Source organism: Homo sapiens, chromosome 2, assembly GCF_000001405.40.
Source record: "Homo sapiens chromosome 2, GRCh38.p14 Primary Assembly".
Lineage (NCBI taxonomy): Eukaryota > Metazoa > Chordata > Mammalia > Primates > Hominidae > Homo > Homo sapiens.
In genome coordinates, this window is record NC_000002.12 from 57,731,128 (window position 1) to 57,745,574 (window position 14,447).

Below are 14,447 nucleotides of genomic sequence, written 5' to 3' on the forward strand. Positions count from 1 at the left end.
TGACAAAAGTTTACCTATATAACAAACCTGTACCTGTATCTTGAACTTAAAGTTAAATTTTGAAAAAATTATAAGAAGTATGAAAGTTAAGTGATTCTGAATAAAGTAATACCAGTTAAAATGCTTATATAGTAGCCCAAATATGAAATTCATTTGAAATGGGGATTATTTTAACTCTTAAATTTCATTATATAACTTTTTATGCATAATATATATGTTGTCTATCCATTGAGACTAAGTTTTAACACAAGGATAGTATATATCTTTTTATCTTCATTATGTCAAGCACAATGTATTTAGGCAGTATTATGTAAGTACTAGTTGGAAAGAAAAAGAAGGAAAGAGAAGGATCACACAAAAGTAGTATTGCAGAAAAGAGTTTCAAGAAGGACGTTGCTGACTTTCTCAAAATAACACAAAGTATTTGGGTTGGAACTGAAAAGAGGTGCCTAGATCTTAAAAAAAAAAAAAAGTGAGATTTTTTTCTAAAAGCAGTGTCAGTGGAGGGATAACTTAGAACTCAACTACATTGAACGAATGGGGAGTGGAGAAATTGAGGCCTTCAGGATAGATTCTGTTTTCGAAAAGTTTGGTGGTGCTGGAAAAAAAAAAGGAAAATATTAATAGTAGCTAAAGAAAACTGTGATTAAAGTATGTAAAGACTTGAGCACATTTTTAGACTACAAGGAAGCAGTAAGGAAAAGAATTTAAAGACATGAGAGAAGAAAGACTTTATGGTACTAAATCTCAGAAAAGACAGAAAAAAATAGTTTTTAAGAAAACAGAGATGGTGGCATTAATTGTGGAAAGACACAGGAACGATTCTTCTTCCATAAGACAGGAGGAAAATGTGGGTAATACGTGAGAAAATGTTTCTCACTTTACAAAGTTCCATAACAAAGCCTCTGAGATCAAAATGATAAAAATTATTATAAGGACAATGACATGTGCTTCTTTGTGCATCATAAATAAATAGAATCTAAAATATAGGTAGGTATATGCAGGGTTAAATAAACTGAATCTACGTAGTCTCTGTTGTTTAAAATATTTTTTCATTTTGTATACCTTTGCTTTACGGACTTCGTGGAAAACTTATTCTCATAAAATAAAGCAGTCATAGAGTTTTGTGTTAATATTAGGTCAGCTGACTTTAAAAGGATGTTCTTTTTTACCCTAGATTATCAAAAATTCTATATAATGAATAAGCTTCTACAATATTAAATGCATGGTTAGAAAATATAGGAGAAAAATACAAGAACAAAGAGTTCCTGCCTTTGAAGAACTCATAATAGAGAAAGCAGAGTGACAATTACACAAATTTCTCTATGACAGAGTAGATGGCATAGGATCGCTACTAACAAATCAAAGGGGATTCAAACAAGAAGGAACAAGTGGCATTCAGGTATGGTCATCAAGATGTCTTCATGAAAGAGCTTACAATTTACATGGAATTGGCAATTGGACAGGACTTTTAAGAGAAACAATAAAGATAAAGAACACTCTAGTTTTGAGGCAAAGACACGAATACAGGCATGGAGTCAGGAGATTACCGGAAATATTCAGAGAAAAGCAAATATCTTAATTAAATTCAAGGGGAGGGGCATGAGGCAAGAGTTAGGAATACTCCTGAAACATCTGGGACAGTAATAAATGAAGTTTTAATCAATGAGTCAATAAATTCAGATCTATGTTTTAAGAAGCTTAATCTAGCAGTAATATGCTTTAGAATCAGTAAGAAAAAATGGAGAACTCAATTAGGAGCCTATTGTGGTACTCCAGACCAGTAGTGGAAATATAAGTGGAAACAATGTCCAAATGGAAAGCATTGGTGGGATGCTTGAGGCATTAGAAGGTAAAATCAAAAGGATAAAGCAAATAACTTGGATGTGAGGGTGACGAGGGAGAGCTGGGAATTACTCCAAAGGTATGTAGCTTTGTTACCTATGCTGCCAAAAATTCTTATATTTTGAAAAATGGACAGTCTCCAAGAATAGCAATATAAGGATAGTGCAGAATATTTTGGAAGTCAATTCATACTTCAGAAAATTCTCTTTGAACCCCATAGCTATATAATGGCCTAAGTGGATGTCATGAGCTACAAGGTTCAAGAATCTCCAAAGGATAAAATCAACAGAACATTTTGGAATATGAGCTTTGTCCAAAGATCATGAGAAGCAAGAGAGGGAAAATATTGCTATATAAGTATTATACTACAGACATCATAACTAGTAGAATGCCAGTGCTGGGAAATAAAACTGCTGCATAGTAGGTACCAATGGCTAAGTGTGGTCAGCTTTTGTAAAGAAAATGAGTAACTCTTGCCAGGACATTTTGCAGTATCCATTCCTCAACAAAATATTCTTCTGGCTATCAGCTCTTACTCTTCAGGATCAATCATCTTTCTAAGAAATGCCAAAACATCTTTAAAATATTCCTTATCAGAGAGAACCTGACAACAGCGTAAAGGCATAACGAAAGTTAAAATTTTAACAAGCACAAGTTGGTTAATCAGTGTGAGATATATTATTTCTCTCCTTGGTAAAAGATGCAGCAAATAGATGCTCTGTCCTGTCATTCTGCTCTTTGAAGTACAAAGACTTGTCTCAAATGAGGCCCTAAGTTCTTTCTTTTCCTTTTCCTTAAATCAGCAAATCTACTACACAGGCTCTTACTGATACTAGAGTCATATGCCTCTTAATCCAATGATATATGAATTATGGCAGTACATGGCTCTGAAAGTGCCTCGAAAGCAAAATATGGAAATTCCCACCCCACTCTCCCAAGAGAACAGGATGAGCCGTCATTATTTTTGTGAATTCAGAGACTATCCCTGTGTTCAGAGACAGCATGTATATGTCTGTCTCTCTTTTTGAAGTTTTGTTTTGTTTTATTTTGTTTTGTTGTTTTGTTTTTAACATGAAACCTCAGATGTACTCAAGGACAGTTTGCCAGCTTGGTCAAGAACACTACAATATCTACATATTCACTAAGTCATAAATCTTCTGTACTTTGGCTCTGTGTATATGACACATGACCCTTATCTCTCCCTAGTGGTTGCTTACTCAGAGAAAATAGAGGTCTATGGAAACACATTGCTTCCTTCACAGGTAATATTTCACACATACTTCTTTACATCTTCCTACACATCAAGAGGTACAGTCTGGAAGGGTAGTATAACACAAATTGTCCTAAATAGACTAATTTGGATCAAATGAGAAATTTTCCCTAAACATTTGTTAGTATAGTAGTATTACCTACATGCTTCCAAACATTGTTTATACTTCTTAGGAGCAAATGAACAATCCTCTGATTTCTTTGGGTATTTGGTTCAATCTGTCTCTCAGACATTACTGAGTTCCTGTAATAGTTCATTCTCACTGCTGATAAAGACATACACGAGACTGGGTAATTTATAAAGAAAAAGAGGTTTAATGGACTCACAGTTCCATGGGCTGGGGAGGTCTCATAAACATGGCGGAAGGTGAGGGAAGAACAAAGGTGTGTCTTAAAGGGCAGGCAAAACGAGAGAGTGAGAGCCAAGCGAGAAGGGAAATGCCTTCCAAAACCATCAGACCTCATGAGACTTATTCACTACCCTGAGAACAGTATAGGAGAAACTGTCCCCATGATTCAATTACTTCCCACTGGTCCCCTCCCACAACACGTGGGAATTATGGGAACTACAATTCAAGATGAGATTTGGGCGGGGACACAGCCAAACCATATCAGTACCATAGCAATCTCCCTAGTATTTTATGGAAAGCCAGCAAAAGTGATTACAAAGGGAGCACTTGCCTTGACCAGAAAACTCTGTCATTAGGTTTAACATTCAGACCCGAAGCTCATTTCTCTTTCTCATTGAAAAACGGATAACCATGTTATGAACATTAGCCATATTACCAGTATAACCAAGAGGAAATATTTGTCACTTTTTTCACTAGTATTCATAAAACAAATAAGCATAGATTCCTTGGGTTTGCTTGAATACCCAAGAAAAATGGCCACTTCAATATGCCAAGCAATTTAATGAAAAGCGACTTCCAAACTGTGGGTTCCATTTTTGCTAAAATTGTAACAAGAAAAAATACAGGAAAGTATGCATAATGTTATGACTTCTAACATTTCTCTGAATTATAATGAAATGAATTATAATTTCACTAAATGACAATGTCTACCCAAGAAGTGGTTCTCATTTCTCATGTTTCATATATTTCTAATATTTCTTTTTCTCAATTTTTTGGTTCACATTGAGCTAATCAAAGTTCTTATTACAAGTAACAGAAGCCAGATTTGCCTAACTTAAAACAGAAAATGGATTTATTGGAAGGATATGTGGAGGCACACAAAATTGATGGACCTACTGGACAAACAGCCAGCAAAGTACACAGGAACGTACAGAGTATGTGTGGGAAGCGCAGAGACCACCACCATTATCATGCCATTGGGATAGCCCCATTTTCACTCTACTTCAACTCCATGATTAGTCCCTCAACAGGCCCAACATCTTTGTATCATCACGCAGATTCAAAATCCCAGGCTGAAGTATCCAATGATAGTACTTCAGATGTCTACAGCTTCACTCACTGAGAACTGGGAGACACTTAACCTAACATTGTATTTAGTGAAAAGTGTTGTCTGCCAAGACGCAGGCAAAGGAGACATTCACCCTATCCAGGCTTCACATGTTGGACAAGCAAAAACCATGATAAATATCCATTGCACATGCTACAAGGAAAATTATACTTCACATGTCAAATAATTATGTCTGTGTAGTAAGCATATTAATTTTTGAAACTTGGAGAATGAAACAGAGGGAAATGTATTGAACATTATCTTTTTGAAACTTTTTTATCAAATAAGGTATAGATCAATTAATATTTTCTATTATATAAGATGTGGAAGAAGGATAGTATTTCCTTCATCATTTTTAACCCTCTGCCTTTAAAAAGCATTATTATATTTATTAATGAAAGCCATTTTAACACTAATACTAATGCAGCACAAAGCTATAGCTATGGAGAAGTTAATTTTATGCTTAACATTGTTCTAAGTGTTTCACATGTATTAACTAACTCATTTAACTCTATTGATTCATTTCATTTAGCAGAGTTTCTAGGGGTTTCTGAAATCACTTGGAAAAATAAGTCATTTAAACTTCAAGTGAAGTTACTAGCATCATTAAGCCTCATTAAATGCTAGAAGAATCTAGAACTGCCCAATATCCCATGCTAAAATTTATTCTTTAAAATTGGCATCATTTTCTGTAAAAGAAGTGAATCTTATTTCATAGTGCATGTTTGTTGCCCTAACTCAAAGATGACTGTAATGTGATCAAAATAATACTATATATATGCAATCTTTAAATAAAGCATTTATATTAGTCAGGGTTCTCTAGAGGGACAGAACTAATAGGCTAGATGTATATATAAAGAGGAATTTATTAAGGAGTATTGATGCACATGATCATAAGGTAAGGTCTCACAATAGGCCGTCTGCAAGCTGAGGAGCAAGGAAGCCAGTTTGAGTCCCAAAACCTCAAAAGTAGGGAAGCTGACAGTGCAACCTTCAGTCTGTGGTCAAAGGTCCAAGAGTCCCAAAGCTGAAGAACTTGGAGTCAGATGCTCAAGGGCAGGAAGCATCCAGCATGGGAGAAAGATGGAGGCCAGAGACTACGTCAGTCTAGTCTTTCCAAGATCTTCTGCCTGCTTTTATCCTAGCAGCTGATTAGATGGTGCCCACCCAGATTGAGGATGGACCTGTATCTCCCAGTTCACTGAATCAAATGTTAATTTCCTTTGGCAACACCTTCACAGACACACCCAGGAACAATACTTCATATCCTTCAATCCAATCAAGTTGACACTCAATGTTAACTATCACAGCATTCCTAGTAAATTTACAAATGGTAACTGAAAAAACATCCAATTTGGAAATCTTTAGGGTAACATGATTTAATAGGCTAAAATTATACACCAGTTTGTTTTAATTACCACCATTGTATCAAATAAATATAGTCCTTGAACTGTAGTCCACATAGTCTACTGCAGAGAAAATCTAAATCACACATAATCCCAAGACATAGGGCACTGGTTGTCTACACAATATTCATAATCTTCTCATTTACCAAGAGAACTCCAGTAATGTACCCAGCTAAAAGAAAACATTCTTCAGCCTCACAACAAATTACAGGCAGCAATCATAGGATGGTGTTCTAGGAAAATTCTTTTTCCCCTAGTCTTCCTTTTTGGCTCTTTTGGTCATTTCCCCTTTCCTTCCTACTATCTGCCTGAAAGGTACATATAATGACTAGACCTCTAACAGTCAGTTTTAGGCTATAAGATGACACTGAGGATCGAAGCCATGAGCTAAAAATGGCAGAGCAGAAAGAAGGAGACTGGGTCCCTGGACAGAGCGTGGAGACACTGTATCTACCCTAGGCTGCCACCTCTGTTCTTATATATCAAGGTAGATACATAAATTCTATCTTGCCTTGATCATTTTAAATAGTCTAATATCTACCTAGCAATTTACCATTGAAAATATTTCCCACATATATTACCTCCTTTCAAAATTCTAATAACCTCAAAAGACAAAACTATCCTCGTTTTATAGATGTTGAAGCAGTTTCAGATGCTAATTGACTTGCTCAGGATTATAGAACAAGTAAATAGAACACCTTTGATGTGGACTTCAGGTCTCTAAACTCAGATTCTATCTCCACTAAAGTGTATCGCATTATCAGAGAGATTCCCCACCTGTCCCCTCCCCACAAGGTTAAATTTCTTAAAATATATAGTCAGATTTTTAGCCTGTAACAAGTAAATTTATTTACTTATTCTTTATATTAACAACTCCAATGTAATGAGAAAACATTTTATTCGCAACTTCATGGCCATGGGGCAATGAGAAACACAACAGTTTGAAGATGATTTGCTGGGTTGCCCGAAGTCTTTGTCAAATTCATTTTAGAAGACTTCCAGTTATCTGACTCAGTGGCCCAAAAGAAGCCAATTACAGAGACACAACATGAGTGGAAGGAATTAAAATGATAGGAAGAAATGAAAGTCTTAAGATCCATGATTTACTGGGGATGTAGGTACAATATGGAGACTAAAAGGAAAAGACTTTGTCCGAATATTAAATAATAGTGGCATTTTAGTATAAATTATTTGTATAATTAGATACATAGTCTAAGCTTGGAAGCTTAGAACTTTTTGCTTTTACTTTCTCTATATAAACAAACACTTTGAAGCATGAACTGTGCAGTTTTAGAACAGTCAATTGGTCGTGATTTTATGTATCCATTGGTAGTAGGCAACCAGTCTCTACTATCTGTATTACATGAGAGAGAGAAAGGTGAAGAATGGGCCCTGGATTCAAACTACAAAGTCAAAAATTGAACTAGTGACTAGAATAGCTTAACCATTTTTATTCTACATAAGTAAAAATTAATAACTCTAGAAATGAAGAACCATATAAAACAGAGTAAGGTATACCCACCATAATAAGGCGTTTAAGTGAATCTTAAAAGAAATGCAAAGAATCTAGTATAGTAAACCAGTAAACGGTAGACTTTGTTATCAGGAAGACCTAGGATAGAATACTGACTTTCCTGCTAGTGACTCTGTGGCCTTGGGCAAGTCATGTAACCTCTCTAAGCCTTGCTTTCCTCACCTGTTAAATGAGTATGATAAAAGTGTCTCAAAAAGTTACTGTGAGCTGGGCATGGTGGCATGTATCTATAGTCCCAGCTACTTAGTAGGCTTAGGTGGAAAGATTGCTTGAGCATCTTGGACAACATAACAAGACCTCATCTCTCTAAAAAAAATTTTAAAAATTCAAAAATTGTTTTTAAAGTCATTGTAATTAAAGAGATAAAGCTTGGTGGGTAGTAAGTGGGATAAGTGCTCAAAAATGGTATCATGATTATCATTTTCTAGATAAATCATAATTAGAATTTTTTTCTAATTTTGGAGTCTTCTCATAGACTTCTTAGGTCAATAAGGTATAATTTACTCAAAGATATCCCCAAATAGTATTAGCATAATACTATTTAGTATAATACTAATTAGTATAATCGACTTATTTGAGTATACATACAAGTGTGTCCAAAATATCTTGATCAAAACCAGTGTGGGTTATCATTTTGGGCTTGTTGTTGTTTTGTAACTTAGCCCAAAATAGACTGTATCTTTCTCTCTCTGAAATACAGATATTATTTGAGGCAAGAGTAGGTAATACTAAGATGGGATTTTTTTTTCCCTGAAATCTATCTTTCTGAACCATCTGATCTCTTAAAGTACCGAAAAAATGATTTATTACAATAAATAGCCTTAAAGATAAAAAAGAATGAGATTAAATTCTGACTACTAAGGAGAGACATTTCATCTTTCTTGATTTCAACAGGGCTGGAAAAATATCAAATTTGAAATAGGAAAATACACCAAGTATTCTCCCGTCCTTTGGCCACTAAATGTTAGAAGTGTAGCTGTACTGAGGACAGGAGGCATAAGAGAAAGTACACTGCCATATAAAGTGCCTCCTAACCCACTGTTGGATTTTCATAAGGTTGTGGTGATGTTTCTTGGGGTTATCCAGATTCCTCCATTAACTGATTGATACATTATATCTAATCAAACTGCCATCTCCTGGTACACAAGTTATTTCCTGGATCCTGTTTGAAGTCCACTGGAAGTCTCCACTCGTTAATGCTTAGCTGTGTAGTGCCTTTGTAATAAAGACAATGATGCTGCTGCTTTCCAGAAGCACCTCAGCACAGAACGACGCCAAGTTACATGTGCATTTTAACCACTGGCTCTGGAGCAAGGCATTTAAATGAGAAAACTGAAAATTAAAAACTCATTAATTTAGAAGACACTTTTGCTGAGTATCAGGCAGTATGGACAAAACAGAAGACTACCTATGAAAGAAAAGTTAACTGCAGAAATTACAATGACAAACAGGAATCCAGGGGAAATATTTAAGATAATTTATATTTAAGCCTTCAGAAGAATAGATAGGCTAATTACAAATATTTTTAAATCTATTCAACAAAATATTTTGAAGAACTTTTAAAATGATCTGAATAGCCTAGGTTGACATCATCTCATTCTCAAAATACTAAAATTTATGTCTTTTAAAATGTTATATAATGAAGATCACTCTTCTCCAAGTTAATCTGAATATTTTACAATTTTTTAAAAGAAATAGGCAAAAAATTATTATAATTGATCAAATATTAAATTGCATATGTTTGGAAATATTTATTGTGTTCTTTTAAAAATATGTTCACATATGTATATACACATGCATATGTACACATACTCAAGTATACATCTACCCAGAGACACATATGTATATATATGCTGCTTATTTCATTCATTGGATGAACTGAAAAATAAGTGAGGGTCACAGAATCACTTGAGAAACTAAATGCAAATATCAAAGAATACCTTATCAGTAAAAACAGACAAAAGCTTCAAATAGAATAACCATACAGAGTAGCCAATACAATTTTTAAACAATTTTGGCAGGCATATCTAAAATACGTGCTGGGAAGGTAAGTCCGCCCATCTTTTCAGAAAAAGACAGAGGTGAACCAAATGCACAATACAGACACAAAGTCAGTACCCAGAAGTAGATTTGAAGAGGAGAAAAGGATCACAAATCCCAGAGACGTCTTTACATATATTTTGATGTTTTCCTTTTGTGTACGGTATTGATGAGTGTGTCGTGTGCTCATTGAGAAACCAGCCCTCAGTAATTGTCAGGGATCTTCATTCTGAGTGCAGACTCTACTGGAAATTAATTGCTTCGGTGCAATCTGAACCACATCATAAATGTCATGTAGAAGTTGCAGGGAGTGAGGAGGCAGTGACAGCTCAATCCACACTGTTTCATTTAAAGGTGGGTAAAACACACTGCGACAGAAGTGCTCTTCATCAATAATTTAGTCCGCAGTGTAAAGCCAAGCCGTGCCAAAGATGCCAGGGGAGCCGCTGCCTCCCTGGTTTTAATGACACCAGCAGGGAGGGGTTGAGGGGCCAGCTCAAATCAACATTCACTGCACATCTGGGCATGTCGGCAGATGAAGATATCAAGGACTGAGCTGACAGGACAAAGGGTTGAAAAAAGAAGTGTAACCTAGAAAACCTTTACTTTGAATTCTTTGTATAAATTCAAGGGAGATGACAGTTCCTAAGGTCATCTTATATAATAAAACTTCAGTGATCTACATAGAGAATTTTAACCCTTTCTACCATGTAATCAAAGAAGATAAAAGTTTAGTTTCTATCATTCACTTTACGACTCTAAAATATTCCCATTTGTTCCCCGCAATAAGACTTCTGCGATGAGTCAAACGCTAACCAGAATTGCATGATTTCATCTCATGAACCCTAATTACAGCTTCTCAGAAGCCACACTACAGTTGGAGGTCACTCCAAGATCCTCTTAACTTAGGGGAGTTTAATATCTTGGCTATTTCACAATGTGTTTGCCTGAAACTCAAAATTTAGTTTGGGAGCTCCCACTGTAATATAAAGGAAATAATGTAAAATGGCACAACCATCCCTTCTTTATCGTACCTTCTTTTAAAAAAAAAAAAAAAAGGAAGGAGGTGTATGTGTTCTCACTACCTAAAGAACGCTGTTCGTGGGATTCTAGTGCAAAAGTTTGAATCGAGTTTGAAAATGAGGATTATATGAATTATATGAGTGGCAATTTTGTCCTGCTCTTTTGAGGACACCAGCATTCCCAGGTTGTGCTATTCTTGGAACCCCAGAGACCAAATTCAATTATCTCATCCTATGTTTTGTATATTTAGAGGACATCACAGCCTCACAAAGGGCTGATTGGATTCTCATTCTCACACTAAGGAAAGTCAGCCCTCATTGAAGGAAATTTACTGAGTTTCCATTTTCCCCCAATGGTTTTCACTATAAAAAAATGAAATTAGTAACATTATTAATGCTAATCAGTTAAAAGTTTAAAATATTTAGCTATATAAATGAAAAATAAAAGACAATCAGTATATGTGATTTATAAAGAAAAAAATAAGAGTGTGAAATGAATTTCAAATTTACTACTCTGATAATATTTAGCCTCCTTCAGGTGACTAGTAGTCAGGTTTTATTCAAAATGAAGAATGTGTGAGAAAGTGGTAGCCATATTAGTTTGAAAGTGTGGGTTCATGGGATAGTATATCTTATTAAGCTAATAAATATAAATCCCCAAGAATTCCTAAGCACGACCAGTCCATCTTGAAGTCAAGGTAGAAAGTATGTAACACAATTGAAAGCACATTTCTAAAATGTCTTATAGGAATCAGTGCACCCATTGCTAGTTATAACATTCAGGAACAACACACGAGAACTTTAAATCATTACTGCAGATCACTTCATCACAGTATATCCCTCCAGTCTAAATTTCTGATATCAAGCAAAGGTTATAAATCTCACCATTAATATGCTAATTTTTCTATAAACTTAAGAAGAGGACTGCCAAAAATATCGAAGATATACAGCTAGACAATTCTATAGGATTTAGATTTGACTGGCTGAACAGACACAATTCAACCCAACTCTTGAGATGGGGTTTCCCAATGGAAGAAAATGCAAGTCGGTGAAAGGTCTTACCAGAAAGAAACGTGACTTTGATATCAAATCCTCAGCTAAAGTATGTAACAGAGTCTGTAATTAGATTAATAATTGTCAAATCAAAAAACTTGTTTTAGCGCATGTAAATTTTCCACCCTTTGTAGCTGATAAAATAGACACAGTTCGTCAATAAAAGTCATATTTTACTTCAGTTAGACCGATCCCACCATTTTTGGCTTTCTTCATTGCGTTACTATAGTTAAGGTAGAAAAATGATTTAATTCCATTTTAAAAAAACAAAAACATTCTTATCTACCAAGAAGATACATCAGAGAGAAAGCTATTGTCTTCGAATGTATTAAACTGAACATACGAAATTGTCGATACTTGATTTCTTTACCTACAAAAACGCAGTTTCATATGGCTTAACCTAGTAATTCTTCACCTAATAAAAATTTCATAAAAACTTCACTTAAATAAAAATCCTAATGGAGTGTTTAAATATTTGTAAAACCATCCATTCAACAATATTTGAAAAATTTCGAAGCACTACTATGCATCAAGCACTGTCATTGGCCCTGTTTTTTTGTGGTTGTTGTTTTTGTAAAAAATGCAACTAGTAATGAGAATGCTTGCTTCTTAGAAACAAATTGAGAGATATTAGGAAATGAATGAATTTAATGCCAAGATATTTGGATTTTTGTTAAATGACAATTCATAGGAAATGACCAAATAGTGTCTTTGAAATTATCTCAGTTTACAGGAAAGAAAATGTGAGTGATAATGATTTTTCTACTCTTATATTTTTAGTGTCCATAAAAGCACAATCATGAGGCCAATTTACGTAGAAAACTGCCACAACCTGCTGGTGGCAAAAAAGACCTGGTGGGAGGATATTTCAGATAGGCTATTTAAACTAAAATAAAAATGGCAGTTGTTACAAATTTCAAATTAATGTCCACTTTCTAAACCAAAGATGCTCAACTGTCTCTCCATATTCACATGTATGAGTCCCCTGAACTCCAGATGGAAACGGATGTTATAATTATCACGGGATTGTTGTAGCTTTAAATGGGAATGGAAAATAATCATGCTGAAGTGTCAGATCCAAAGGATGGCTGCTTTTAAAAAGCCCATTAAACAATATTATTCAATGTTAATGGTAGCATTATCAGAAGGTCTTTGATAATGTAGCTGCCAATTGTGCTCTCTTGATTTGTAACTTTCTTTGAGGGCTTGGGGAACATGAGCTGTTTAAAGCACCTTTTTAAAAAGCTCCTAATTCCTTTCTGACTTTGACTATTCTCTTTTTCACCGAGGAACTGAATGGAACCTGTAACTCTGATTAAAATGAACTTAGACTATACAGAAGGCCTGCCTTACAATTATATATGTGCCAAGATTAAAACTCAGATATCTTGTAGTCAACAGTACCAGGCTAAGTGGTAGGTAATAGAACTTCCATTCAAAACTTTAGAAAAAAACAGAATGAGTATAGCCTTTACGGAGGGGTAGATAAAATACTTCAGAGGAGCAGATTTCTAACAGATAATTCTTTGCAGAAAAGTCACAACCATTCTAACACAACTAGCTATTTTAACAAACACTGGGGTGAGGAGTTTGCCACCTAAGTATTGCCCAAGACACATGACTGCATATTAGTGATGGTAGCAGATACATTTTTAATTAAATCTTCTTTTATTTAGAGCATTATGCAACACCTGGGTGACAGAGTGAGACTCCATGAAAAGAAAGAAAAGAAAAAGAAAGAAAGAGAGAAAGAGAGAGAGAGAGAAAGAGAGAAAGAGAGAGAGAAAGAGAAAGAAAAAAGAAAGAAAAAAAGAAAGAAGAAAGAAAGAGAAAGAAAGAAAGAAAGAAAGAAAGAAAGAAAGGAAGGAAGGAAGGAAGGAAGGAAGGAAGGAAGGAAGGAAGGAAGGAAGGAAGGAAGGAAGGAAGAAAGAAAAAGAAAGAGAGAAAGCAAGCAAGCAGGCAAGTTTTTCCAGGGTGTGGATATTTTCGGCCAATGAGTTGAACACTCTTAAATAATAGCTATGTAGGCAGTGATGGATGAAGTGAACAACTTTATTCTAAGAAGTCAACTCTTTCTTCATTTAATCTCAACCTCCATGTAGAATCACAAGATGTACCCTAAGAGCAGACTTTCCTGCCAGGCCTGTTAGGGTTGAGAAGTAACACTGCTCTGGTCCCACTGGGCATCCACTCTACACACCAGGAAATTTAATTTGTCCTAAAGTGAAATATTTCCCAGAAGAGAAAAACATTCACCTGGACATTTCTTTCCTTGCCATCCTCTTCTGCACTCATGATGTAATATTCATGGTTATAAGGGAATGGGGGGTGGGAAAATGACTTGTTTATAGAAAGTAAAAGAAAAGGTGTAATTAGAAGATGGTAAGCAACTCAAGTCTCAGTTACCTTGACCAGTTTGTGAGATCTGGGGGAAAAGAAGGTGCTTTGGAGATCTGCAGAAAGGTCAAAGGAAAATATGATGTGGGCAAGGGGTGAAGGGTATTTGAGACAAGCCAGGGAAGCAACATTTCAAATAGGCTTTTAAAATTCACTTGGGTTTGTACTATATGTCTCTTGAAAGAGTTAGAAGCCCAATATATAAAAAGCTGACTATTTATATATTTGATTCCTTAAAAGCAATGAGGAATACAAAGCAGATGGTCCAGCATTGTAGATTTCCCTTTTCATATTGCTTAAACACTAGAGATCAATAAGTCTAATATAAACAGATGATTTCCATAGCAGGGTTTATAATTAGCTGGCACTGAATGTGTCCAAACTCTAAAATAATTAGCAGAAGCATGTGGCACACCATTAAAA

General features: G+C 35.1%; 1 annotated feature.

The window, feature by feature from the left end:
• Positions 10,293-10,493: a silencer, noted in NCBI's record as "peak3705 fragment used in MPRA reporter construct". NCBI's record gives its function as "represses an SCP1 promoter by STARR-seq MPRAs in K562 erythroleukemia cells {active_cell/tissue: K562}" and the evidence as "EXISTENCE:reporter gene assay evidence [ECO:0000049][PMID:32103011]".